This window comes from Homo sapiens, chromosome 8 (assembly GCF_000001405.40).
Source record: "Homo sapiens chromosome 8, GRCh38.p14 Primary Assembly".
Lineage (NCBI taxonomy): Eukaryota > Metazoa > Chordata > Mammalia > Primates > Hominidae > Homo > Homo sapiens.
This window is the reverse complement of record NC_000008.11, coordinates 22,156,812-22,182,835: the sequence shown is the minus strand read 5'-3', so window position 1 is coordinate 22,182,835 and position 26,024 is coordinate 22,156,812. Positions and strand designations below refer to the sequence as shown.

General features: G+C 55.0%; 2 protein-coding genes across 19 annotated transcripts in view, besides 4 other annotated features; both read right to left on the bottom strand.

Annotated features, from left to right (window-relative positions):
* Positions 1–17,464, bottom strand: part of BMP1 (bone morphogenetic protein 1) — a 46,955-nt gene extending 29,491 nt beyond the window's left edge. For 2 of the 4 annotated variants that reach the window (NR_033403.2, NR_033404.2), the window contains exons 1-8: positions 17,283–17,464; positions 9,121–9,234; positions 6,523–6,693; positions 6,186–6,303; positions 5,697–5,912; positions 4,879–4,984; positions 3,007–3,131; positions 2,353–2,468 (exon numbers count right to left, since the gene is read on the bottom strand). Coding sequence is in view for 2 of the 4 variants with exons in the window: in NM_006129.5 (NP_006120.1) it covers positions 2,353–2,468; positions 3,007–3,131; positions 4,879–4,984; positions 5,697–5,875; positions 6,186–6,303; positions 6,523–6,693; positions 9,121–9,234; positions 17,283–17,430 (1,077 nt within the window). In the remaining 2 variants the exon portion in view is untranslated. The remainder of the gene's footprint in view (positions 1–2,352; positions 2,469–3,006; positions 3,132–4,878; positions 4,985–5,696; positions 5,913–6,185; positions 6,304–6,522; positions 6,694–9,120; positions 9,235–17,282) is intronic. The other 2 variants (NM_006129.5, NM_001199.4) reach the window with 1 other exon arrangement.
* Positions 8,727–9,226: an enhancer, noted in NCBI's record as "H3K27ac hESC enhancer chr8:22031123-22031622 (GRCh37/hg19 assembly coordinates)". NCBI's record gives its function as "activates a minimal SCP1, AML or CMV promoter by ChIP-STARR-seq in naive H9 embryonic stem cells {active_cell/tissue: H9 hESC(naive)}" and the evidence as "EXISTENCE:reporter gene assay evidence [ECO:0000049][PMID:30033119]".
* Positions 17,169–18,208: a silencer, noted in NCBI's record as "silent region_18982". NCBI's record gives its function as "represses an Ori minimal core promoter by ATAC-STARR-seq in GM12878 lymphoblastoid cells {active_cell/tissue: GM12878}" and the evidence as "EXISTENCE:reporter gene assay evidence [ECO:0000049][PMID:35858748]".
* SFTPC (surfactant protein C) lies at positions 18,357–25,453 on the bottom strand. Of its 15 annotated transcripts, none has more exons than NM_001385655.1 (8): positions 25,161–25,453; positions 22,981–23,361; positions 20,966–21,060; positions 20,104–20,262; positions 19,634–19,756; positions 19,290–19,400; positions 18,777–18,953; positions 18,357–18,570 (listed from the first exon to the last, which is right to left on the bottom strand). In NM_001385655.1, exons 3-7 carry the CDS (start codon positions 21,005–21,007, stop codon positions 18,795–18,797), a joined length of 594 nt encoding a protein of 197 aa, NP_001372584.1. In that variant the 5' UTR covers positions 21,008–21,060; positions 22,981–23,361; positions 25,161–25,453; the 3' UTR covers positions 18,357–18,570; positions 18,777–18,794. The 15 variants fall into 15 exon arrangements, with proteins under 15 accessions (NP_001372584.1, NP_001372583.1, NP_001372587.1 ...); NM_001385654.1 differs by having other exon boundaries at positions 18,785–18,953; NM_001385658.1 differs by having other exon boundaries at positions 18,777–18,935.
* Positions 25,853–25,997: an enhancer, noted in NCBI's record as "145 bp 8:22014424 sequence used in MPRA reporter constructs". NCBI's record gives its function as "activates a minimal TATA-containing promoter with rs117928119 allelic activity by MPRAs in C283T melanocytes {active_cell/tissue: C283T}" and the evidence as "EXISTENCE:reporter gene assay evidence [ECO:0000049][PMID:36423637]".
* Position 25,925: a transcriptional cis regulatory region, noted in NCBI's record as "rs117928119 or 8:22014424 MPRA-significant variant associated with a GWAS melanoma risk locus at 8p21.3". NCBI's record gives its function as "allelic transcriptional activity by MPRAs in C283T melanocytes {active_cell/tissue: C283T}" and the evidence as "EXISTENCE:reporter gene assay evidence [ECO:0000049][PMID:36423637]".

Genomic DNA, 26,024 nt, shown 5'->3' with positions numbered 1-26,024 from the left:
CATGTGTAATCTGCAGGACTCAGAGTAAAAGCTTTCCCAATCTTCAAAGGGGTGTGTGTGCTGGGAGGAGAGTAAGGAGCGGATTCTGGGAATTGCAAACCACTGGGCCAAACGTCAATCCCCAGTGAAACAGATGGTCTGTGACCATTTAGAAAAGAAACACTTGATTACTAGGAGCCAGTTTGGGTTCACTGAAAACAAGGCAGGTCGAACACATTTGTCTTCCTTTTAAAAGGGGTTTTGTCAACGGGTGGAACAGTAGATTTAATTTGGTAAGGCATTGCATCTTACGTATTCAGCATTTATGAAACACTTCCTGGGCCAACGACAGAAAGATGACCAAGGTATGGTCTCAGAAGGAGCGTACATCCCGGTCAACTGGTGGTCACCTGTGGCTGGATAGTAATGACCTTAAGTGGCATCATAACTGGTGTAATAACTCTGCTCAAAGCCTAGATTAAAAGATTAATGCCAATTTGGAGGGAAATCTTGGTTCTTCTTTGGTTTGTGTGCTGTTCTATGTTTTGATCAAAGGCCAGGACGAAGACCTAGAAGTCATGCTTATCAAAGGAGCTCATGGCAGAGGTAAGAGGAGGGCTACCTGATGGATGGTGAAATTCTGATTCAAAATGATCTTGAGATGTCGAAATGAACAATGCAATCAATAATAGAATTGAATCCAGCTCAACGCTGCACTATGACATTAAGAACCATGCCCCAATCAAGGAAAATAAAGTCTTGTAGCTTGGGAGCAATAAAAATATGGACACAGAAGGTCTGGGGTTGGTGCGGAGGTCCAGAGTCTGTGTGAAAAGACCGGGAATGGATCTAAGAAGTGATGGGAGTAGCCTCCCCACATTAGGAGGGCTGACATGGGAAAGAGGGAGTGAGTTATCCTGCATTGCTCTTGAGGAAAGTACTGGAGCAACTGGGGGGCTTAAGGGAGAAGAAGAGACGTTGTAACATTAAGAGCTGGCTACAGGCCAGATGCGGTGGCTCACGCCTGTAATCCCAGCACTTTGGAAGCCTGAGCCAGGAGGATCACTTGAACTCAGGAGTTCGAGACCAGCCTGTGCAACATGGCGAAACCCTGTCTCGACCAAAAATAGAAAAAAAATTGCCGGGCATGGTAGCGCACATCTGCAGTCCCAGCTACTCCAGAGGCTGAGGTGGGAGTATCGCTTGACCCTGGGCGGCAGAGGTTGCAGTGAGCTGAGATCGCGCCACTGCACTCCACCTTGGGTGAAAAAGTGAGATTCTGTCTCAAGAAAAAAAAAAAAAAAGAGCTGGCTAGAGAACAGAATGAATTATTCTGAAAAGTAGTGAGCCTCTCATCACCTTAGGTATTCAAACAGGGCTAATCAACCATGCAGTGGGAAACCTGACCGGACAGGCTCGGGGGCCCTCCCCACACTCGGTGTCCACCCTACTTGCCACCAATTAGTAACGAGCAGGGAAGGCTTCCTGAAGGAGGTCACATCCGAGCTAGACTGTGAAGATGGAGACAGCTCTGACCCGATCCCGTAGTATGCCCGAAGCCAGCCCCACGTGGCAGCAAGTATGAGAACTGGGTACTTCCCCACAAGGTAAGACAGAAGGTGGAGCTGAGCTTTCTCTATGGATCAGAACTGATATAGCAGGTGACAGGTAGAGGGAGGAGAAATAGAGTGCCAGTGGAGAGCCAGGCACAGAAAATCAGGCCCACAGAGCAAAGACTGGAGGGTCCTGGCCTGAGCAAGGGGAAGGATGGGTGAGAAGGAGAGACCCACCAGGCAGCATCCTGCTGGAGGCGCCTGCATCATTCCTTAATTGTTCCCAGGACTAGAGCCTGTCAGAATCGGGAAGAGCCCTTCAGGAGCCCCTGGCCCAAGCCCTGATGAGACGGATGAGAGCTGAGCGTCAGGCTGAGCAGTTCATCCAAGGGAACCCAGACCTGAGAAGAGCTCCAGTCCCACCTCAGTCCTTGTTAGCTGTGTGACCTTGGGCAAGTTACTTAACCACCCTGTGCCTCAGTTTCCTCATCTGTAAAATAAAGGTGGAGGTAGCCGTAAAAACTAAAAGAGGTGATGTAGGAAAATCACCCAAGAAGAACTAGATAATCAAAATAGACCTACACAGCAAGTGCTATGTGCAAATTAACACTAATTTATAATTATTGGGAGATGCCAGGGAAGGCGGTGAATGCCAGGAGCCCCTTCCTACAGCCGTGCTCCATCAGCGCTCTGGACTTGATACATTTACGGTAGCCAGGTAGGTCGCTGGCACCCATATTGACCCCCACTGTGGGAGAAGTCCCTGAGGTATGGGGACCCGCAGGGGAGGGGGAGGCTCAGAGGCTGAGCCCACACGTACCTTCTCCCCGGGTGTGACAGAGATGCGCCACACGCAGTGCATGTGAGCAGAGTAGCCATTGGGGTATTCAGGGGAGGAGAAGTTGCCTGTGCTGTCTTGCAGGGTCTCTCCACAGGCTGTGAGGAAAGGAAATGACAGGGCAGGGCTGCAGGCGCCAAATCCCCCCATCTTCTGGCTCACCCACCCCTGAACCTTGGCATCCTCTGGGGGAGGGGAGAATGCCTGAGGAGTGGGAGGGTGTCTGCAATGGTCCTGCCCCTATAAGATCCACCCCCCTACCTCACATATAGCACACGCCATCCTACCTCCCAGCCCAGTGCTGCCCTGTTTGTGAAGGCAATATGGGTTCCAGAGCTAAGGTCAAGCTCCCTTGGTGGGGCTCCGTGCCACCTCCCTCTCCTAGGATTGCTGTTCTCCCCACTTCCGCCCCTACAGACCCTCAGAAGGTGGCGGCTCGGCTTCTGACCACCCACCTGAGCCTACCCCCAGCGGCCTCCTTCACTTGGACACTGCCCCTCCTATGGGGTCCCCTCCCCCGCCACACCATTCTCTAAGACTTGCAGCCTAAGCCTTCTTGGTGGCACCAGGCACCTGGCCTCTGCCTCCCTCAGGCCCTGCCCTCCACGCCCTCACCCATCCCTTCTCTGCCCTGACCTGGGCACTTGTAAAGCTTGCGGGCTTGGGCAATGTCCCCCTTGCTGAGCCGTGTCCTTTGGCCAATGGGAGGTTTCACCCCGTTCACCTCATACTTGGGGACAATGGTATCCAGGAAGATGCCCCTGAAGAAGAGGGAGAAAAGTAAGGGTGAGCGTCTCATGGACAGTGGGCAGGGAGTGGGTGGCATGCCCATCTGTACCCACAAGTCACGACCCTGCTGGAGCTCAGACATTCCTCAGCAGGGTCAGGGCCGGGTGGAGTCGTCTCACCCTGTCATTATGCTACCCACTGACCAGCAGCCACCCTGCTCCGTGGCAGCCACACCACAGGAGTCGGGGGAGCCCCAGGAACACTTTGGGAGGTCAGGGATGCAGGTCCAGGGTGCCCTTGGACCCACTGGTGCTCCCAGCTCAGGCTGGCCACAACTCCCAGCCCCAGGAAAGCTACAGGCCCCTAGCGGGTCATCTCTCTCCAGCCCCACTGGGCCCCTGCTTCTGCAGCCCCTCATGCTGCTCCAGCCCTAACTAAACTTCTCCCAGGACTCCCCAGGCCAGCTCCTCACCCTGCTGGCACAGGCTGCATCTGAAAGCACCTGGAACAAGGCCAAAGGCAGATTCCACTGCAGCCAGACCAAGCCCCGGGGACAGCCCCACCAGCTCCCAATCTATCAGTGTCTCCTGTCCTGGCCATTCCTCCCTGCTGAATCCTGGGTGTTTGCACTGGGAGGAGCAGAGTGAAGGGGAGGCAGGCAGCCCTCCACCTCCCCAGGGCCCCTGACTCACACCCAGCTGGGTGGATCGCAGCAGGGGGTGGGGTGGGATGTGGTGGGAAATGTAAGGCCGGGTCTGTGGGTGTGGGGGGCAGAATGACCTCACCACCCTTCCTTGGTCTCTGTTCCTGCAGGTCTGCAGGCAGGAAGAGCAGATCGGGTAGAAGCACTGAGAAGAGGGGGCAGGGCCACTGTCTGGGACACAGACAGAGGATGAGCAAAGCACCAGGCCTGGGAATGGCCAGGCCAGGAAGGAGTTTGAGGAGGAGGGAGGTGCCATTTCCCACACTGCTAAGGAGAATCTTGGGGGAGGGGAGGCTGGGCCACCACCTTTGAGGGCTCTGGTTGTGGCTTCTGGGGACCTGGGCCTCAGATAAGGAGGATGTGCTTCGGAGCTGGGCATGGGGGCTAGTCCAGGGCAGGGGTCAGGCTTCGTGCAAACTGGCCAATTACAAAAAAAGCAGACTAATTAAAAAGGAATGGCTGGGCATTGGTGGCTCGCGCCTGTAATCTCAGCGTTTTGGGAGGCCGAGGTGGGAGGATCCCTTCAGCCCAGGAGTTCGAGACCAGCCTGGGCAATATAGTGAGACCCCATCTCTAAAAAAAAAGGCACGGTGGCGTGTGCCTGTCATCCTAGCTACTCAGTAGGCTGAGACGGGACGATTCCTTGAGCCTAGGAGTTTGAGGCTGCAGTGAGCCATGACTGTGCCACTGCACTCCAGCCTAGGTGACAGAGCAAGATCCTGTCTCAAACAAAAACAAAAACAAACAAATGGCCCACAAATAAAAGCTCAGCACCCTTTGGGCTGATAGTTTGGGGCTACCCCACACTGCTGGGCTTGCAGAGTGGCTGGGTTCAGCCTCCTCCGCCAGGTGCCCTGGGTGCACACGGTGGTAAGGCCCTGCCACAGACCCACCCGTGGAAGAGGACAGGAGGGCAGGCAACATCCACGGACCCTCTGCTTGGAGGCCACAGCCCCCCAGAGGGCCACTCTTTTCCTGGGTCACTGCCCCAGAAGTGGGAGGCAGGAGGAGAATAGCCTACAGAGGGCAGGGTGGGGCTGCCCGAGCAGAGGCCCAGCCCCAATCCCGTCTCCCACCTGGAGAATGTGTTCCGAGCGTAATGCATGATGCTGTCGAAGTCATAGGTCTCCCCCAGGGACTCCACCTCCTGAGGCTCCATCTTCAGGAAGTTATACTCCTGCCCTGCCAAGATCAGGAAAAGGGTGTGGGGGGAGAGGAGGGGGTGGGTCTGCCTGGGATGCAACGCTCACTTTCCAGGGCAGGGAATGGAGTCCTTCCTGTATCTGAGAGAGTCCCCCTACCTGAGGGTCCGGGGAGCAGCCAAGGGGAGCCTGGGGAATGGGGAGGGTCTCAGGAAGAGTCCTGTCCAGCAGAGGGCCTGGTGAATGGAGGACTCAAGGGAACATGGGAAGGAAGCACCATTTCTAGAGCCACAGCTGAGAAGGAGCAGTGAAGAGTGGAGAACGCCTGGGAGAGAGGGAGGAGGCGGGAAGGGAGGGACAGAGACATCGAGAAAATGAGAGAAAAGCCCTCGGAGGGCAGACCAGGCAGAGGGCAGATAGTGGGCAAAGGTGGGGAGAAAGGCCTGAGCAGTCCCCAGGACGGCCCACTATGCCCATGCCCCACCCTAGAGGCTGCCCGGGCTACCGCTGTCCAGGACCAGGACCTGGCCCAGCCTCCCAGAGGAGCTCCACAATGGATGCGGGTCCTTGATCTGACACGGAGGAGGAAATGCCTCAAGGGCAGGGGCTGGCTCAACCCAGGCTGTGGGCAGCGCTGCGGGCCCAGGCGATGACGGCTGGCTGGAGCGGCTGCCACTGCCCCCAGGGGTCCTGGAGGTGGGGGCTGGGGCGGGAGCCGCCCACCAAGGCCGCACCGAGGGGCAGGTACCTACCTGGCTGGATGTTCTCACGAACGATGGAAACGTGGCGGTCCCGGTCTGGCCGAGTGTGTTCGTGCCAGAAGCCGACGACGTGGCCCAGCTCGTGGACCACAATGCCGAACTTGTCACAGTTCTTGCCGATGGAGATGGCCTGGGGGCCCCCGCCGCGGCGACCCACGTAGGAGCAGCACCTGGAGGGCGGGGCCAGCTCAGGGGGGCGGTCCCGAGCTGGGGGAGTGCATCCACTCAGGGGCGGGGCCAGGCTGCCGGGGGCGGGGCGGCAGGGGAGCGAAGGGGAGGGGTGGGCCCTGAGCACCGAGTGCCCAGGCTGTGTGCTGGAGGTCACAGCCGCACAGGGGGCAGTTCCTGGGTAGATGCCCCATAGCAGGAGGGGATAAAGGGACCCAAGGCTGTGCCCAGCTGGGGGCAGTGGCAGGGCCCAGGGCAGAACCTGGGTTGGGGCAATGGCGGAAGGTACAGCGCCTAGGGCTTCCTGCTCACCCGCAAGGTCGATAGGTGAACACAATATAGCTGTCCTCGTCAGTGCGCTCCAGGAAGGTGACACAGGTGTGCTTCTCCCAGTGCCTCATGGCCTGCCGGAAGACTGCCCTCTGGCTACCTGCCAGGAGGAAGGAAGCCAGGTTGCCACGGTGTCCAGGCAGTCCCACCCCCTACCCACCACTGAAGAGTCACAGCCATTCTGAGGGCAGACTGCCTGGAAAGGAATGTGTGGGCACTCGGGCTGCAGGTGGCACCCACGCCTCCGTGCCTGGCAGGGCTGCCACAAGGCCAGGCCCGGAAGCTGGTTACACTCTGGGACCCACAATAGCACGCTCACCAGTGAAGTTTCCCCCAATGACAAAGGGGATGACCCCATCGGGCCACACACGCTCTGGTCGGGACGTCGCCGCCCGCCGGCTACGGGATCTACCTCTCCATCTCCCACAGGCTCCCCTCTGAGGCTGCCCGTTGGTGCTCTGGCAGCTGGGGGTAGAAGTGTTTCCTGGAACTGAGAGAGGAAGTCATGGTGACTAGTGAGTGGAGAGAAAGAGGAGGAAAGCAAAAGCATAGTCAAACCTCATTTTTCATGGATTCTGTGCTTGCAAATTTGTCTACTGGCTAAAATTTATTCGTAGTCCCCAAAATCAATACTCTCAGGGCTTTCACGGTCATTTGTGGACATTTGCAGAGCAGTGAAAAATTTCAGTCACCCAACATGCATGTTCCCAGCTGAGGTGGAATAAGGCAACGCTCCGCTTTCTGCTTTCGGCTCTCATTGTGTAACCAAGTGTCCTTTTTGAGGTCTAGTTAAAGTGCCCTGTTTTTTGTGTTTTTGTGCGCTTTGTTGAGGGTTTCGCTGTTTAAAACAGCCCCTGAGCATAATGCTGAAGTGCTCTCTGGTGTTCCCAAGGGCAAGAAGGCTGTGATATGCCTCACAGAGAACATACGTGTGCTAGGTAAGCTTCTTCGAGGCATGAGTTAGAGTGCTGTTGGTCATGAGTTCAATGTTAATGAATCAGCTCCATATTAAGTAAGGTGTCTTTAAAAAGAAACACTCATAAAACAAGGTGATGCACTGATCAGTTGACAAAAATGTTGTGACCAGAGGCTTGAAGGAACCTGACCCTGTATTTTCCCTAGGAGCAATGGGTCAGTATTTGCTAATGTTTTCAGTGACTGTACAGAGTAACTATAAAGTTATTCTATAACTTCCATAAATAGCAAGAATTGACAATAATCGTAAAAGAGAACAAAGGTGTACTCATTTTCTAGGAATTGTGGGGATCTGAGATTAGGAAAATATCCCTTCTCATTGAATAAACCTTGACATTTGTGGAGCATTCAGAACTCTATGCCTTCTTTTGATTTCCCAAATTCATGTTTGCATTTGACATAGGAGCTCTAAGGCATGTGGACAAGTGTCGTATTGTATTTGACAGATGAGGAAACTAAGGCCAAAGGTTTGGCCAAAGTCACCTGGTGGGTTAGCAGGGGACCCCTCCATGCAGCTTTCCGTTGTGCCATACCTACTAGTCCCCACTAAGGTCACATGAGCCTTACTTGTTAGCAGGCCACCAGGTCACCCTCCAATGCCACCTGCCCTCTGGGGTACTTTATTCCATAAGGTGCCCACATCAGGATCTTCCCTCAAGCTGGACAGGACAACTTCAGGCACACCACAGTGTTCCCAGAGCAGACCCTCAATAAGAATCCCTGCCCTTTGGTACAGTGGCTCACGCCTGTAATTCCAGCACTTTGGGAGGCCAGGGAGGATAGTTCGCTTGAGGCCAGGAGTTCGAGACCAGCCTGGCCAACACCGTGACATCCCGTGTCTACTAAAAATATAAAAAATTGGCCAGGCGTGGTGTTGCATGCCTGTGGTCCCAGCTACTTGGGAGGCTGAGGCACGAGAATTGCTTGAACTCAGGAGGTAGAGGTTGCAGTGAGCCGAAATGGTGCCACTGCATTCTAGCCTAGGTAACAGACTGAGACCCTGTCTCAAAAAAAAAAAAAAAAAAAAAAAGACAGAAAAAAAGAAGAAAGAATCCCTGCCCCTGCCCTTTGGGAAGGGGAGGGCTATTTGTGTGCTCTCAGGACCATGTCTCAAACATCAGCACTGGCAGTGAGGAGCTTTCACCCTTCTACAGAGCAGTAAGGGACTGGAAAGAACAGACACAGCCCAGGCCCTCATCCCTCCCATTCCTGTATCCATGCACAAGTACCACATGGGTTTTTAGGAGTTTGGACCACAATCAAGGATAAGAAGAAAGCATCCCTGACCTTAAAGAGCTAGGGAGACATAGGAGCAAATCCTTTCAATATGGTGTGATAAATGACAGGGTAACAGTGTGATCACAGAGGAGGGAGAAAACAGGGAAAATGAAGGGACAGTCATGTTTCGGGGGCAACTGGGAAAGAAGAATAGGAGAAGCTCCTGAAATGGGCCTCAGAGGATGCACAGAAATTTGCAAAGTGGGAACAGAGAGCCCAGGAGGGATTGCAGTGTTGGGCAGAGTCTCAGGTCTGGAGTGAGAAAGCTTGAGTTCCAGTCCCAGCTCTGCCACTCACTAGTTGTGTGATCCTGGGCAGGTCACTTTACCTCTGTGAATCTTAGTTTCTGTACTTGTAAAACAGGAGTTGTCCTGACACCACCTTTAAAGGTGGTTGGGGACAGTCAGGCTAGACAATACTTTTGAAAGTGGTTTTTAAACTGTAAACAAAAAGAATGTCAGTTCTTAGTTGCTGGGGATATCTATATTTACTACTCCTCTGGGGAAGGGATGAAGATATCCCGAGGGAAGATAGACCCATGTGCTGGGGTCAAACTCATGGCCTCTGTCCTGGGAGGGCCTGGCTGGGAACAGGGAGATTCCTTGTTTCCCTAAGCCTGGAACCCATTTCTAGGACACAGAGGGCCCATTGGCACCCGGCTTACCTGCAGCTTTGATGGAGGACTTACGAGCTGTGTGCCGTCTGAGATCCACAGCCTGCTGTACCTGGAAGGCCCTCAGGTCCTCTTCGTCCAGGGCAATGTCCCCAAGAAAGGCAGCTAAAGAGAAAAGAAGAAGCCAGGGCTGAGTTAATCCTCCTACCCAGCCCTAGGTGCACCGTGCTTCTAGCCCCAACCCTGTGGGCACCAGCCCCCAACCTCCACAGCGACTGTGATCCTCAAATGCCATCTGAACGAGAAGGAGAAGGGCAGTTAGGGATCAGCTTATAGAATTTCTTGGGAAGCTCATGCTTACTTTTCAGTTAAAATCCCAGTAAAGCTGATGCTCAGCCCCTACCAGTCTGTTAGCTCATCATTCTTTGGGGAGTGTGGGGCAGATAGGGTCTCACCACTGTGCCCAGCTAATTATTTAAAATTAGCAGGGTCTTGCTATGTTGCCCAGGCTGGTCTCAAAATCCTGGCTTCAAGTGATCCTCCAGCCTCCTCAGCCTCTCCAGTGGCTGGGAATACAGGTGTGAGCCACAGAGCCATCATTCTTCAGCAAATACTTAGTTAACATACTACTGTGGTCCAGACAATACCCTAGTTATTAGCAAGACAGAAGAGGCCCCTGCTTCGGTGGAGCTAACCTTCCATAATATGCAAGTAAATAAATACTGACCTAGGGTCTTCCAGATAGCAATGGGAGCTATGAAGAAAATAAAACAGGGTGTGCTGAGCATGTGGTGGTCACTCAGCAAATGCTGTTTCAATTTAACTAAGGGGGTGTCTATGAGATAAAATAAGCCAGGTGCAGTGGCTCACACCTGTAATCCCAACACTTTGGGAGGTCGAGGTGGGTGGATCACTTAAGCTCAGGAGTTCAAGATCAGCCTGGGCAACATGGTGAAACCCCGTCTCTATAAAAAATACAAAAATTAGCCAGACATGGTGATGCATGCCTGTAGTTCCAGCTACTCACTCAGGAGGCTGAGGCAGGTGGATCAATTGAACCCAGGAGGTCAAGGCTGCAGTGAGCTGAGATGATGCCACTGCAATCCAGCCTGGGCAACAGAGTGAGACCCTGTCTCAAAAAAAAAAAAAAAAAAAAAAAGAGGAAATAAAATTGTACCATTTTTCATTAGAACAGATAAGCATCTTTGGGAAACGAAGATACCTTCTGGGAGCTTCCCAGCTAGGAGGAAAAAGTTTAACAGTTCTCAAGTAATTCCTATTCCAAGTCTTAGGCTGCCCAAGCAGAAAGGCCAGAGGGGAAGAGAGCCTCCCTAAAGGGCCATTCCGATTCCAGTATCTGGAGCTGAGGAGGGATGTTTCCAGAGACCCGGCTGAACTGTCTGTCTTCCTTTTGAGAAGTCTGGAGAAAAGGAAGCAGAGGCCATAGAACTGGCCGCTTTGTAAGGCGCTCAGATGGGAGCTGCATGCTGAGCTGGGCTGGGCTGGGGGAAGTGGGAGGCTGGGCTACAGGTGGGACCCACAGCAGCTTCCCTGCAGCTCCACCCACAGCAACATCTGCTTCTCATCCAGGCAGAGTGCTATACAGGCCTGGCGGTCGCGTTACACAAATTGTTTTAACCTTGAAGACTTCTACACAGGTTTCTCCTCCCCAGTTGGCCTCACTGGTGAACACACACACACACTGACTTCATCACATACAGAATCAGACACCCAAGGTTAGTGTTCCTACAGACATATGGTGGCGTCCACACCCTTGCCATCCAGTGCAGAGCCATCAAAGCCAGGGACACACATCCTTGCGCATGAAAGCAGCAGCCAGCACTGCACTTTCAGGCGGGAGGCACTCCGGGATGTTCGAATGAATGAATTGCCACGCTGATATTCTTCTGGCTTGCAAATACATGCCCAGAGACACACCCTCACCTAGACAGGATCAACAGAATGTGGGAGTGACTGTGGCAGTCATCGAGGCCAAACTTCCATTTTATAGATGAGGAAACTGAGGTCCCAAAAGCAACAACTTAACTGAACCTACACTGCTAGTCACTGGAAAACTGGACGTATAACTCAGGCCTCCCCATTCCCAGTGCAGCAACCACTGCACTCTCTAGAACCCCTACTGTAAATACATATATACAAAAATAGATACTCAGACGGACACATCCACAACAAAATACACACACAGTCACACACGGTTTTTAAAAAACACACATGCACAAGCTCCAACATACACAAACCAGCTGCAAGCTCTGGACCCATTAAGCAAATAATAGTCGTGATAATGACACCTTATGTAAATGTTGAAATTTTTGTGGTGCTTTCCAATTGGCAAAGTGCTTTCCCATTAATTAATTTAATCCTGGCCTGCCCACAACATGCCCAGTAAGCCACACTCCACACCATGCTCTTGCAGAGCATTAGAAACTCTCAGAGAGAGATAACCTAAGTGGCTAGGTTTAGGTTCCAGCCCACCTCCCTGACTTTAGACATCAGAACACTTGAGCCTATGAAGGGCGATAACTCACTCAAGGTCACCAGCCAGTAAGTGACCCCAAATCTCTTCCAACCCATGAGAAAGCTACTCTTACTTGAATCGCCATCCTCGGCAGGTGGCCTTGGCTCAGCAACTGATGGGACGGCAACAGAAGATGCTTCCCAGGTGACATGCAAGAGTGGCCTTAACAAGGACATGGGATGGGAGGTACACTCCAAGGAAGAAGCAGTGGGTTCATACTCACCAAAGTTCACGTAGATGTGCATCTGCCACACGAATGCCTCCACACTTAGGCTTGTGTTATACCTTTCTTTCTTTTTTTTTTTGAAATGGAGTCTCACTCTGTCACCCAGGCTGGAGTGCAGTGGTGCAATCTCAGCTCACTGCAACCTCTGCCTCCTGGGTTCAAGCAATTCTCCTGTCTCAGCCTCGCCCAGCTAATTTTTGTATTTTTTTTTTAGTAGAGACGAGGTTTCACCTTGTTGATCAGGCTGTTCTTGAACTCCTGACCACAGGTGATCCTCCTGCCTTGGCCTCCCAAAGTGCTGGGATTACAGGCATAAGCTACTGTGCCCGTACACACATATTATACCTTTCACAGGCATTGTACCTGCAGGCTCCCACACCCAAACCCACAGGCATCACCGCATACAGGTGTGGCTGGACATTTAGACTCACCTTTGGACATAGAGCAAAGGGCAAGGTCTTTGGAGTCAGACAGACCTGTCTTGGAATCCAGGTTGGCTACTATTAGCTGACAAGTCATGTAAACTCTTCTAAGCCTCAGTGTTCTCCTACATAACAGAATCTGTCTCCTAGGATTACTGCATGAAATAAGACATATACACGAACCCCCAGCACAGAGCATGCAACACGGTACGCACCCACCAGCCACTTTAATATTATCCCAACACAACCCGTAAGCTCAAAGTCAGCTCTAGACCTCCTCAGGGAACGCTGGCTCACCCACACTCTCTGCCCCCACTCCTCCTTGAGTGAAACCCTGGTGCAGAGGCCACAGAACTGTGCTGGCCTGCGGGTCCAGGGCCAGTGTAGAACCAGGGCAGAGCAAGTGCAAGGCAGGGCAGGGCATGGCCCTGGCTGCTGAGCTCCTGGAGTGAGGATGTCATGGCTGAAGAATGCGTGGGAACCAAGTGGGGGTGGGGAGAGAGGAGATGGGCAGGAGAGCCTTAGGGGCAGGAGCTGGGCCTTGGGGCTCTGTGCTTTTGGGCTGCCCTCTGGGGAAGCGAGGGAATCTGGATGCTAAGGAGTCTAGGAGGTCTCTCCTTACTCAGAGGAAGCCCTGGGGTCACGGTCAGGGTAGTAGTTATTTTCAACACAAGATAAAAATTTTTTGTGTTGTTTTCCAGCTGTAAACCTGCCAGGAGCACTGTGGCTGAGCCCATCTGTGTGCTTGTGCCTGGGAAGAATCTCACTCTTTCAGGTCAACCTCTGGACTCCACCGTCTCCTCCCCCAGGGCATGGCAAGGCCTCCCCTTCTGGGGAAGTGGGGAGAGGAGGCTGGCTGGTGTAATGAGCCCCAAGGCTATATGTGCAGGACTGATGCATGTCCCACTGCACAAACGCAAGCTTCTAGCTGGGGGATGACACACTCAAACCCCTGCAAACATGTGGATGGACTTCATCACATGTGAACACTTCTGCAGAGGTGCATGTTTGCCTCCATGCCTGCATGTACTCAGGAAGACCGATCACAGGTGAACATGCTTGCCTACAAGGCAGCGACACACCCACGCATATGCACAAACACACACTCAACCACTTCCCCGTGCAGGATCTTGTGTTTTCAAACACACACATAACTGCAGGCATGCACCATGTTTCACAGGCCACACTCCCCAAAGGACAAGGGCGCACTTAGAAATGGACAGGGATGCACTTGTGTGAGACAAAGAGAGCGAGGGAGGGAGAGAGAGAGATTAGCTGACTCCCTTGGATCTCCTTAGGAGGTTCTTAGTGGACTGAGGAGTAGCGCTTCTACTCCCCCGACCGCAATATCTTCTCCCCAGATCTCTGGAGAAACTAGATTTTTTTTTTTTTTTTTTTCACAGAGTCTTGCTTTGTCACCCAGACTAGAGTGCAGCGGCACAATCATAGCTCACTACAGCCTCCAGCTCCTGGACTCAGCCTTGAACTCTCGAGCTCCAACTCCTCCCAGCTAAGCCTCCCAAGTAGCTGGGACTACGGGTGCATGACACCATGCCCAGCTAATTTTTAAATTTTTTTGTAGAGATGGGCATCTTGCTGTGTTGCCCAGGCTAGTCTTAAACTCCTGGCTTCAAGTGATCCTCCCACTTTAGCCTCCCAAAGTGGATTACAGGCATGAGCCACTGCCCCCTGCCTAGACTTCTTAAGAATCCCTTCTTCCTGGGGAACCCCACTGCCCCGCCCTGCCCCATGTAGGGCCCAGGGAGAGTACAAATTTTTTCCTCACCCCTTGCGGCACTGAAATAAGAAGGTGACTCAGGGGCAGGGGCCTGGGTGGGTGGGGTGACTCAGCTGTCTAGAGGGGGAATGTGGTCTGGTGAGAGGAGAGATTACTTCTCGACCTCAGAGGGTGTACCCTAATCCTCTATGGCTCTCTGATGTCCAAACCTTGGCCAGGCGTCCCCCTGGGTGGGATGGGGATGTGGGCTGGTAAGTGCTGCCCCTCCCGCTCCTGCAGACTCTGGGCTGTCAGATGAGGTTGAGGTGGTAGCAGGGGCCTCACTGGCACAGGGTCACTACCCAGCTCTGGGTGTGACATGCTTCTAGCCCCACCCCTGTGGGGTCAGGCCCCTGGGCTTCTCTGATTTTGGGATCAACTGTGTCCCAATTCCTGCCTCCAAGGTCTCTCCGGGGGGGTGTTGGCTAGTCACCTGGGGCAGCCAAACAGTGCTGGGAATCTTGCAGAAGGACCCCCTTCATGGTTTGGCTGATTTCCTGACATACAGGAAATCAGGCCTGCCTCAAAATCTTCCTGGGCAAGGGCTAGTGAGGGCTTGGTGGCACCAGCTCTGAGCACACAAACAGACCAGCCTGCCTTCCTGCCCAACGTCCTGGTCTCACCCAGAAGGTCCAGGAACCTCTCCAGGGTATCAAGGATATTAATTTTGCCCTCACTACAACGGCAACCATAACTCGGCCAGTAATGGTCCAACGAAGGGGCGTGGCTACCCTCAGAGCAACTGGAAAGGTCACAGGTAAGCTGTGGGAGTCAAAGGAGCTTTCAGTTCCAGCCCTTGAAAAGAAGCAGAGACAGCATGCCTGCCATCATCACCTCCAGCATCTGGAGGTCAGGGCTGCAGAGGATACAGGAAGCAAAGCCAGGCAGGAGAAGGAAACGTGGAGAACAGAGCTGAGGGACCTGTGGCTGGAAGGCAGTGGCACAGGGGTGTGGGTGTGAGTACTTAGGAATGCCCATGTGAGTTTCCTCTGGAGGTGGGCAGCAGATCTCAAGCATCAGTCACACCCGAGAGGGAGGCCTGATCTGACCCAAGGCCTGGCCTTGTCAGGCCCGGGGGCCCTCTCAGCCGCCCCCAGCCCTGGCCCAGCGCCCCACCAGCCTCACTTCACCCAGTTGGAGTGCTTTCTCCAGAGCCCTTACTTGAAGCTCCAACTCAGCCAGCCCCACCCTAGCATGAAACCTGAGACTGGGGGGAGAGCCCTCAGCCTCTTGCTGCTCTGAAAATCACTCCCATTTCCAACAAGAAGGGAAAGACATCAGAATGGCTTCCCACCCATTCTTTAAGGCCAGGCCCCAGCCCCACCTCCTCCATGAAGACCCCCCCAGACCTTCTCAGCCTGCTGTGATCACTTTTCTCTGCCACCACCAGGCTGCAGAGGGGCAGGAAACTCCCTGAGTCTTTGGCATCCTACCCTCCAATGTGGCACTCAGTGTGGCTTGGTTTGTGCTATTGGTTATGTCTGTAGGTGTCTTGGGTCCCTACTGGACTGTAAGCTCCTTGAAGGCAGGGTCCTAGCTTGTACGTCTCAGTACCTCCCACAACATCCATTCCAGGCCCTAGCACATATTAGGTATTGATGGATTGATGGATAAGAGGCACAAGGAGACACCAGCAATCCCACACCTCTCAAAAAAATGAAGTGACAGTCTGAGGCACAGAAAACAGGGAGTAGGGAGCCCACATTTATTTAGCGCTGACTGTGTGTTAAGCACTATTAAGTGTTTTATGTATGTTTTCATATTTAACCCTTACCACCAACTCTATGGGAAGATGCATGATCAGTTCCATTTTACAGGTGTGAAAGTGGCAGTTCAGACATGATCATTACCATTCTGAGGTGGTACAGCTATAATGAGTAGCAGGGTCAGGATTGAAAGCTAGATGTGCCTGCCTTCAAAGTCCATGCGCAGTCCACTCTGCCCTGTACCCACTCCCAGCCCCCAGCGAGAAAAATGACAGCAAATGTCCTGGTTTACCCGCAGCCCAGCAGGTGTAGAGGGGTAAGGGCTGAGGGATTTGCCCTGATTTCCTCCATTGGATGGTCTCTTATTCCTGCCTGTGGGCCACCCTCCCAGGAGAGTCCCTGAACAGGGTCTCCAGAGCCAGGACTAGAGCAACCTGCCCCTCCGCCCCTGGTGCCCCACACAGGCAGTCCAGTTCTAGCAACTATGCCACTTCCCCTGGCTCTGGCTATTTGGAGATGAGCTGAAGTCAGAGAGGCAGGAAGTCAAGGAAAAGTTCTGATATCTTGTCCCTGTGTGTCCCCAAACAGCCTGCCCAGGGTCATCCAATCAGGCAAATGGCCCGAGTGCCTGGCCATCTGGTCACTCCAGGGGCAGGACCCTTCTGGGCTCAGCAGGAGTGATGGGGTTACATAGAGTCTTCAGAGACAAAGAACACACACACATACAGGCAAACACACACTCCGGGGTCCTGACCTCAGCTAATTAGCCTCTGGTGTCTCGGGGGTGACAGAGCTGATATACAATATCTGGGTTCTCTTTGTATTTTCCCTCTTTCCACCCCAACTTGGCCTTGGCGGGGGTCTCTGGGCACATAGGGACAAAGTTAAGTCCCCCTTCTGGGTTGGCTTCTCTGACTTTGACAGCTGTCTCCTAAGTCCCAGAAAGCTTCAGCTACTGGTTAAACTACGGGATACCCAGAGAGCACGATCTCAGGGAATCCCTGGAAAAACTTTCTTCTTCCACTTGGGCTGGGTGGTGGCTGGGGGACCTGCTCCTTGGAGACTCAGGCCTCCCAGATCCAAGCCAGACAGATGTGCAGCCCCAGGGCAGCCCAGACAGGCTGGAAAACACCCAGCTCCTGGAGCAGGAGAGATGGGGGAGAAGGGGAAAGAACACACACACACACACACACACACACACACACACACACACACACGCACGCACAGGAGTTTGGCCAGAAAAGTTTCCTACAGAAGGAAAAGCCGCCTTGCCCGCCGGTTTTCCCGGGACGCAAGGAGACTTCCTCTGGAATCCTCTGGGAAGATGAGAGGCAGCGGCAGCAGCTTCCACCAACAGCGGCAAAACTTCAGTCCGAAAAGTCCCCCAAATCCCCCTCCCTCTCCCCCTCGTTCTTTTGTTCCCCACTGCATTGCCAACCAGGCAGCTCCCGGCTTCCCACACTGGACTGTCCTCCCCCAACCCCAAGCCCGAACCCGCCCGCGCCTCCCCGCCTGGCCCGTCGCCGGGGGGCCGGGGGGCGCTCACCCGCCTTGCAGGGGTCTTTGTAGTTGAGGGGCTCCGAGTCGTCCTCCTCCGCCAGGTCATAGGTGTAGTCGGCCAAGTCCAGCGGCCGGCCGGGACGCGGGAGCAGCAGCAGCCCGAGCAGCAGCGGCAGGCGGGCCACGCCGGGCATGCTGGCGGGGCGGCGGCGAGGGAAGCGGCGCACTGGAGGCCAGGGGAGGGCGTCCTCTCGCCCGCTTGCTTGCTCGATCGCGACCGCGACCGCTCCCGCCCTCGCTCCCCGACCTCTTCCCCTTCCCTCTGCTCGCCTCCCTCCTTCCTGTCTCCCGCCCCCCGCTCGGTCCGCGGCTCCGCGCTCGTCCTCGGGCTCCAGCCGTCTCCCTCTCCCTTTCCTTCTTTTTCTCTCTTTCTTTCTCTCCCTCCCTCCCTCCCTCCGACTCCCCCCCCCCTTTTTAGGGAAATGAGCTCGCTGGAGGGCGGGTTTTCGCCCGAGCTCTGCCCCCCTCGGGGCCGGGACAGTGCTCGGCCGGGCCGGGCCGCGCGCCAGCCGGGGCGGGGAAGGCGGAGAGCCGCGCGCCCGGGGAGGGGGCTCGGGCCGCCCGGGCCGCGGGCCGCGGGCCGCGAGGCCGGGGCTGGAGCTCGGGCCCCGGGGTGCCGGGAGGGCTGTCCCTCCTGAAGTGCCCTCTAGCGGCGGCCTCCCCCGCGGGCGCGCGGCCGAGCCCCCGCCCCGCCGCGGGACACGCTGTCAGGTCCTCGCGCCGCCCCTGCCCCGCGCCCCCGCCTCGGGTCGGTCTCTCCGCCCGCGTCTCCCTATCTCCCCTTCTTGGACCCTCGCTCTCTCGCGTCTCGCTCTCTGCGCTCTGTCTCTCTCGCTGTCTTGGTGTCTCTCCCTCCTCCGGAGACGCCGCTGGAGGGCGCCGAAAGCCCGTGGATGGCTCCCTGCGAGCCCCTCTCCCCCGCCGAGGTGGACCCAGTGCCCCAGCGCCCTGGGACAGAGGGCGAATGGCAAACCCCACTTTGCTCTCCCAAGGCCCTTCCCTTCTTGGCCGGCCCCCGCCAGGGCAGGACTGCGCCCTGCAGGAAGACAGAAGCAGACCCTTTGCTTTTCAATCAGGCTGCTTTATTCTGTTGTGGCAGGAGTTCCCGGGCCCCTGGGCGCCACCTCTGCCCACTCCCATCCTCTCCCCAAGCTCCCATTTCTCCAGGGCTTGTCCCTGCGGTGTGGGCAGAAGCAGCTTCTTGCCCGTCTGCAAAAGCTGCAAAAGACCCTTTGCCCGGGGCGTTTCCTTTCCCGTTGGGGCTTCCACTGACCCTGTGAAGCAAAGGAATGTTGAGGATGGACAGAGAGAATCAGGGGAGTGGGAAGTACCGGTCTGTGAGCTTCCCCTCCCCCGAGTTGCCTGGATGACCCCGCTTCAGTGGACGCCCCAGCGCCTGGTCAGCGCGAGCGCTCCTCCACAGCCCGGGCAGGTGGCCCGAGCGCTCCTCCGCTGCTGATCAGGGGCCCTGGGATCACACCTGCTCACCGGAGGCGTCCTAGATGTAGTAGAGCGGCACCTCGCCACACAGGGTGCTCACGGCCATGCCCAGGAAGGCCGGGTCCCCTCCGGAGGGTGCTGAGCCTGCATCTCGCCCCTCTGCCTGGCCCAGCTTAGACGTAGGCACTGCGGGCTTGGCCTGCAGAGAGCATTCCATCTGGAATGTAGGAAGTGAGTTTCTATCCCATGTGCAGCCCTTATTGTGGGACTTCAGGTATATCAGGCAATCTCTCTGAGCCTCAGTTTTCTCATCAGTAAAGAGGGGCTGTGCTAGAGTCAGAAGCCACCAGGTAGTGAGTGGACTCAGCTGAGCCCAGCAGCTTGGCAGTGGGGTGGGAAGGAAAGGAGTCGTGCAGGGGAATAGGAGAGGGGCAGTCAGCTGGCAGCCAATGAGGAACAGTGCTTTACAGGTGACAAATAGCCACCATTCGGACACTCCTCCCAGCAGCCCTGGGAGGGAGACAGCCCACTCTTTTCACCCACACACACACACCTGGAAGTTGTGGACTTTTCTAGTGAGAGCCTCAAGACTGGGGATGCTCTCTGGAGCTATCTTCATGATGTAGCAGCAGGTGCCAGGGGCTGGCTTGTAGGCGATCAGCAGCTAGGCACAGAATGCTGGAGATCATTCGGGGGTCCCTGCCCTGCTCTCTCCCTGACCCAGGTCCTTAGCCACCTCCCTCTAGGTTGGGCACGGGAGTCATACTAGAATCTGGGGCTCAGGCAAAAAAGGTCTGGAGGAGAGGGAGAGATGGATGTGGATGAAGTGGCCCAGCTGGGTGGCTCTAGCAGAGCCTTGTCATTGGTCCCAGGGTCAGGAGGTCTGGGCATACCCACCTGCTGGTAGTCATACACCACGAGGCCAGTGGAGCCGATGGAGAAGGTGGCAGTGGTAACCAGGTGCTCACTCAGGGCCAGGCGTTGCTGGGCTTCCGGCGCCCCAATGCTCATCTCCAGAACCTGGGGAAAGGGCATGGAGCCACCTGGTCTTCCCCTTTCCTACTCAGCCAGTGGTACCCATCCCCATACTCAGGCCTCTGTACTCAAATGCGCTTCCCTCTTTCCCAAGAGTTCAGGGAGGCTGAGTGGAACCAGGTGCTGGAGGGAGCTGGCTGTCCTGCTGCGGGGCAGGGGCCTTGTGGAAAAGCCTGAGCTGGGTTGCTGCCTGGTTCGTGCCTCTTTCCTTCTAGCTGTGCCCCTTGCCTCCTCCCCTCCACTCCCCTTGGACAGTTTCCTATCGCCCATCCCACCTAGCCCCGCTGTCTGGCATGTCCTGTGCCCACTGCTGTGCATCCCACACCTCTCACCATCTCCGTGTGTTTCTGGCTCATGTGGAGACCCATGAGCAGGGCTCCCACAATCACCACGACGATGAGGACCACCACCACCACCACGATAAGAAGGCGTTTCAGGTGCACTGGGCAGCAGGGAATGCCAAATCGGCCCCGGGGAGCTGCGGAGTAGTCCTGACACGGTGGGGCAGGCAAGGAGACAGGCATGAGGTCATGAGGCTGTCCCCTCTTCTCCCTATACAAGCTGAACACCCTCCCACGGCTGCCTAGGGCTGGACAGCCGATGCGATGGATGGACAGGGAAGGGCTGAGGAGATCAGAGAAGGCTTCTTGGAGGAGGTGGCCTGGATTCTAACAAACCCATAGACACATAGAAGCTTAGAAGCAGGGTCTAGTTTTGAGGGACCCAAGAGAGCCTGCTTCACCTGTCTCTCCCTGCTGCTTCCCCCAGCCATGGTCAGCCCCTCTCTCTCCCCAAGTGATCACCTCCATGCGGTGATACAGAGTCTCCCTCCTTCCTGGAATGCCTTCCTCCTTCTCCACCGGGCGAGCTCCTCCTTATTCTGGCTCCAGCTCGTATGTGGTTTTTCTCTGAGAAGTGTCCCCTGACTTCTGAAGTTTCTCATGGCTTCTGACTCAGGGCTGTCTACGGACAGCCCTTTCTACGGACCCCTATAGTGGCTCTTGGCCCACAAACAGCTCCCCAAGGGTCCCTGGCTTAGTGGTCTTGGTGTCCCCATCCTGACTTATCACAGTCCTAGGTTAGTTGAGTGAATGGATCTGGATAAGGAAACAGGCCAGGGAGGATAGAGGAGGCAGGGCCCATCACACACATGTGCGCGCGCACACATACATACACACACGCAACCACACTCACCGGCGGGCTCTCCATCAGGACCTCTTTGCTGCCCACATCCATCTTGCTGCAGGTGCTATGCTCTCCTCTCCTCCTCTCCCAGGTGTGACCAGGGTCTTATATGTGTCCGTAGGGAGAGGGGACAGAGGTGAAGGACCAAGCCCCCTGTGTGCCAGCCAAGCCCTTGGCTTTGAAGCCTGTTTGTTCCTGGCCCTCCAGAACCGAAGCCCAGATAAGCCCCCTGTGAGAGCCCCCAAGGGCCCTTGGCCCTGGCACATGAGTCCTCTTGGCCCCAGCAAGAGCAAACCTGGGTGAGTTGAGCAAACTTGCCCTCGGGCCATCTGCACTTCTCACCATGGGTGTCTTCCTGGCGTGCCTGCCTTCCTTGCTGGCACCTGCCCCTGCTGCCCTGTGGCTTTCCTTTTTCTTCTACCACCCTGAACCTTTCAGGTGGCCAAGGGTCTGACCATCATATTTCCCAGCAGAATTTCTAGATACATAGGGATGCGCTCCAGGAAGAGGGTTCTGGAGGCAGCACCTGTAGACTCTGAGAGGACTCTGCCCAAGGCAGGAGGTGCTTTGACATCAGTTTTCGGGGTTTCATAAATGTGCATTTCCCTGCAAGGACCAGTTCCAACTTCAAGTACTCTTTCCCTTACCTTGCCTCCTCCCACATATCTGGTACCAACCTCAAACTTGCCCCCAGTGATTATTTTCCTAATTCTGGAAACTCTGTCCCCACTGGTGGCAAGCTCTTACTCATGTGCAGTGCTTCCTTCTTTGCTCTGGGCTTGTCTGTCAATTGCAGGCTGTGCTGATGGCAGATTCCAGGTCTGACACTGCTTTCTTCTGCCCGGACAGCCCTGAACAGGGCTGGCTCTGGTCACTGGTGGGCTCCCAGTCTCCCCATCCTCGAATCAGCTCACTCACCCTGTGGTCTACACTCTACCCCTCTAGACTCCCCTTTCTGCATCCTCTGATCCTAAATTTGCCCTGAGAATAATACTCACCCAAATACGATCAGCTTTGAGGACTGTCTCCTTCTCTTTTCTCTGTCTTTCCTAGTGCCTTCCCAAAGCCATCTCTATGTATTTACGAGGTCAAATCTGCCAATGACTTTGGGCTGGCTCACCCTTTCTCTCAGGTTCCCTTTCACTCCTTGGGCCAGGTGGTCTCTAAAGTCCCTTCACCTCTAAACTCAGGTGACTGTGGCAGAGTCCAGGCCTGGGCTCGCTCCCTTAACCTCCTATCCTTTTGTTTTGTTTTGTTTTGTTTTGTTGTGAGACAGGGTCTCACTTTATCACCCAGGCTGGCATGCAGTAGCGAGATCACTGCTCACTGCAGCGTTGACCTCCTGGACTCCGGTGATCCTCACACCTCAGCATCCCAAGTAGCTGGGACTACCAGTGCATGCCATTGTGCCCAGCTAATTTTTGCTTGTTTTATAGAGATGAGTTTTCACCATGTTGCCCAGGCTGGTCTCGAACTCCTGGGCTCAAGTGATCTCGGCCTCCTAAAGTGCTAGGATTACAGGTGTGAGCCACCATGCCCAACCAGCCTCCTGTCCTTTAACATGCCACCCCAGTTCCTGTCCCCTGCCCCAGCCCCCTCCCACCTGGGCCCTGCCCTTCGGTCATGAGCTGGCAGGTTCCCCTGTCCCCCTCTCCATCTGGAGGGCCTTCAGCCCCAAGGTTGCATAACAGCATGGCATCTGAACTGAGAGCCCCTGAGAAGCGCAGGGAGGAAGAAAGGGAGGGAAGTGTTTGCTCCCACCACCCTCCTCACCCCCTTGCTGCCCCTTTAAATATTTGCCTAAGACTCCAGCAGCCAGAGAGTGTCCTAGGACAGTGAAAGGAGGGGAGGGGTGCCGGGAGGAGGGGGAGCCCACAGAAGCATCCTCTCAGCTCGGCCTCAGCTGTGTGCAGGTGCCAGATGTGGGAGACAGCTCGCCTGCAGTGCCCACCCCTGCCCTCCCCCAGGGCCCTTACTCCCGCCCCCATCATCCTGGCAACATTGGGATTGATCGGCTGACTCACGAGTACTGGGCCTGAGCCAGGTGGGCAGCTGGCCAGCGGGAGAGCCAAGCACTGCAGGCATCTCGGGGTCCCTGTGGGCATCTCGGGGGGCCATGTTGTTCTCACGTGGGACTTGTTCTTAGCAGGCACTGTGGGTGGGGTTTGCCGCCATCGCTGGGTGCTGGGAGAGGGATCTCTTTCTTTGAAAAAGCCTCTGCTCTTTCTGGTCCTTGGTCTCCCCTGCCTGTTGCCCTTAGGCTGTAGCTGTCACAAGCTCTGTGGCGGCTGCTGCTGCTGCTTCTTCTCCTTCTTTTTTTAAACCCATTTTTGCTTGCTTGAGGGCTGAGGGAGGGTGCCTGCCTCCTGGAGTGCTCACACCAACCAAGTGAAGGTCTTGGGTTCCTTGGAGAAGGAGACACAGAAGGACCTTTAGCTGGGTGTGCCAAATTTCCCCCTCCCCCTACCAGCCCTGTCTGCAGCCTTCTCACTTTTTGGCCTGTACTTAAGCCGTTTCTCCCTCTGTGAAAGCCCACCTCCAATCCCTCTCCACTTCTCCGGTTTTATTTTTATTTTATTTATTTAATTATTTAGAGACAGGGTCTCACTCTGTTACCCAAGCTGCAGTGCAGTGGTGCAATCACAGCTTCATAGCTCACTGCAGCGTTGATCTCCTGGCCTCGTGTGATCCTCCTACCTTGGCCTTCCAAAGTGCTGAGATTACAGGCGTGAACAGTGCATCTGACCTTCCACCTCTCTGAATGCCACCCACCCAAACAGGCCAAGAGCCAATGGCACCTGCTCTGCGACCTCACTCCAGTTCATGGTGCCCTCTGAAATCCTCAGCCTCTCTGTGGCACCTTCACCTGCCATTCAGCACACATGAATGTTCCCATGAGTTACATGGGCGCTTTTTGTTGCTCTATCTTCCAGCCCAATTGCGGGCCCTGGGAAAGAAAGGAGCACGCTTCCTGCGGGCTTCTTTGAACCTGCCACTGGGCAGGAAGCATGCAAACAGCCAACACTTAATGATAGTCAATGATGAGACCAATACCAACAGCGGTCAATAGTCCATGCCTTCAGTATGTGGAGGTCTCAGTGCTTCCACTGGCCAGCTCTGGGACCCAGCGTGAGTCGTTCTGCTTTGTTAGGCATTAGTATGTTCATCTGTGAGATGGGTCAGGTACTAGCTGTCCACCTCACTATGCTATTATGAGGACCTAATAGCATCATGGGTGTGACATCCAGTCATCCTCATTAGCATCATCTACTTCATCCTCTAGGGGACCTCTCACTAGCTAAGAACACAGCCCAGACTCACCCTCTTTGTCTGTTTCTGGGTTGACTCCCTCTGAGAGCCCTGAGTGATGGACAGCCCCACGGTGGCCACCCCTTCTGTGTGGGCCTCCCCGTTTCCTCCTCCAGCCCCTCAGCTGCAGGGGTGGGGACAAGATTCACTTTGCTCTTTGTGTACTGGGCAGAGCCGTGCCAGGGACGGGTGGGGACAGTTGCCCAGCTGCCCCAGCCACCTCCCTACCCTCACTGCTTCCCTCCCCCCAAGCTGGCATGGGGAGGGCGGCTAAATGTGTGGCAGCAAGGAGACATCAAAGGGCAGGGGCATCCCTGGCTGGGAGAACACAACTTAAGCTCAGACCAGAGAATCCCCTGCTGGCAGAGTCTGGGGACAGCTGGGGAAGCATCTTAAAGCCAGTGGTCTTCGTTCCCTGGACTGGTGTGCAAAAAGCACAAGACTAGAAGCCCAGGCAGCTGACAGCCAGGCTCCCCTTGCCCCGTGCCTATGAGCTCTTAGGACAGTCATCCTCCGCCACAGGGGAGCTAACGTGGTAGAGAGCAGCAGTCTTCAAGCTTTTTGTTTTCAGGACCCCTTAACACTCTCAAAAAGTATTGAGGACCCCCAAGAGCTTTTGTTTATGTGGGATATGTCTGTTGATATTTACTGAGAAATTACATTTTTATTTACATGTGAATTTAAAATATCAGTAATAAACCCAATATAGGTTATGACATAAATCACATTTTTAATGGAAAAACGATTTTACAAAGCAAAATTATTTTACAAAGCAAAATAAAATTAGAGAGAAAGTGTCATTTCTTTACAGTTTTGGAAATCTTTTAAATTTGGAGCTTCATAGAAGTGAAAAGGGCAAATCATGTCTTAACAATATTAGGAAAATTGTTTTTACCTCAGAGACTTCCTGAAAGGTTCTCAAGGACCCCCGGGCTCCCAGGGCTACACTTGGAAGAGCCGTGCATGGAAGGACGACCGTGAACCTTGAAGCTGGGCAGAGTGGGCGGAAATCCCTGCTGATACCTTTTTCTTCTGGTGCGACAGGCCTCACTTTTCTTGTCTGTAAAAGGGAATTACTATCACCTGCCTCAAACGATTGAGAGGATTAAGTAGGGAAAGTACAGAGCACTTGCGATAGCAAGCTTAGGGGGCCTCAGTTTCCTCATTTGTTAGACAAAGGGCTGGACTGAAAAATATCCAAAGCGCTTCCCAGCTTTAACAGGCTGTGGTTGAGCGTGAGAAATGTTCCAGAATTCCACACAGTCCCACTCCAGCTCCAGAGGCTGCGTTTCCCTTTTCAGCTCATGCTGACACAAAGGTACATTCTGTTCAGCGGCGCGTGGAAAAACATGTGAATCCGGTTAGAAGCGCACTTCAGACTCCTCCAGGACGCCCTTGTGCTTCTAATCTTGCATGCTAACTTAGATATGCGTCTGTCACTCACGACATGCCCATGATGCTGCCTAGGGGATGTGTCCCCCCATGCAAAGAAACCCAGGTAGACAGAAGCACAGGGATCCCTAACGCCGAAGCGCCTCCACAAGGCAGTGAGTGCATGTGCCCGTGCAGAGACAGGTGAGCACCGGCGCGCACAGTCGTGCCCAGCAGAGGCACAAGCACAAGCTCACACGCATGCACTCACGCGCAGCCCCACACGCGGATGGCCCCAGAGACCGCCCGGTAGAGCACACAGCGGCCACGCCTCCCCTTCCGTGACTCCCAGGCCCCGCGCCGCCCCGCGCGCGCCCCCGCCGCCCGC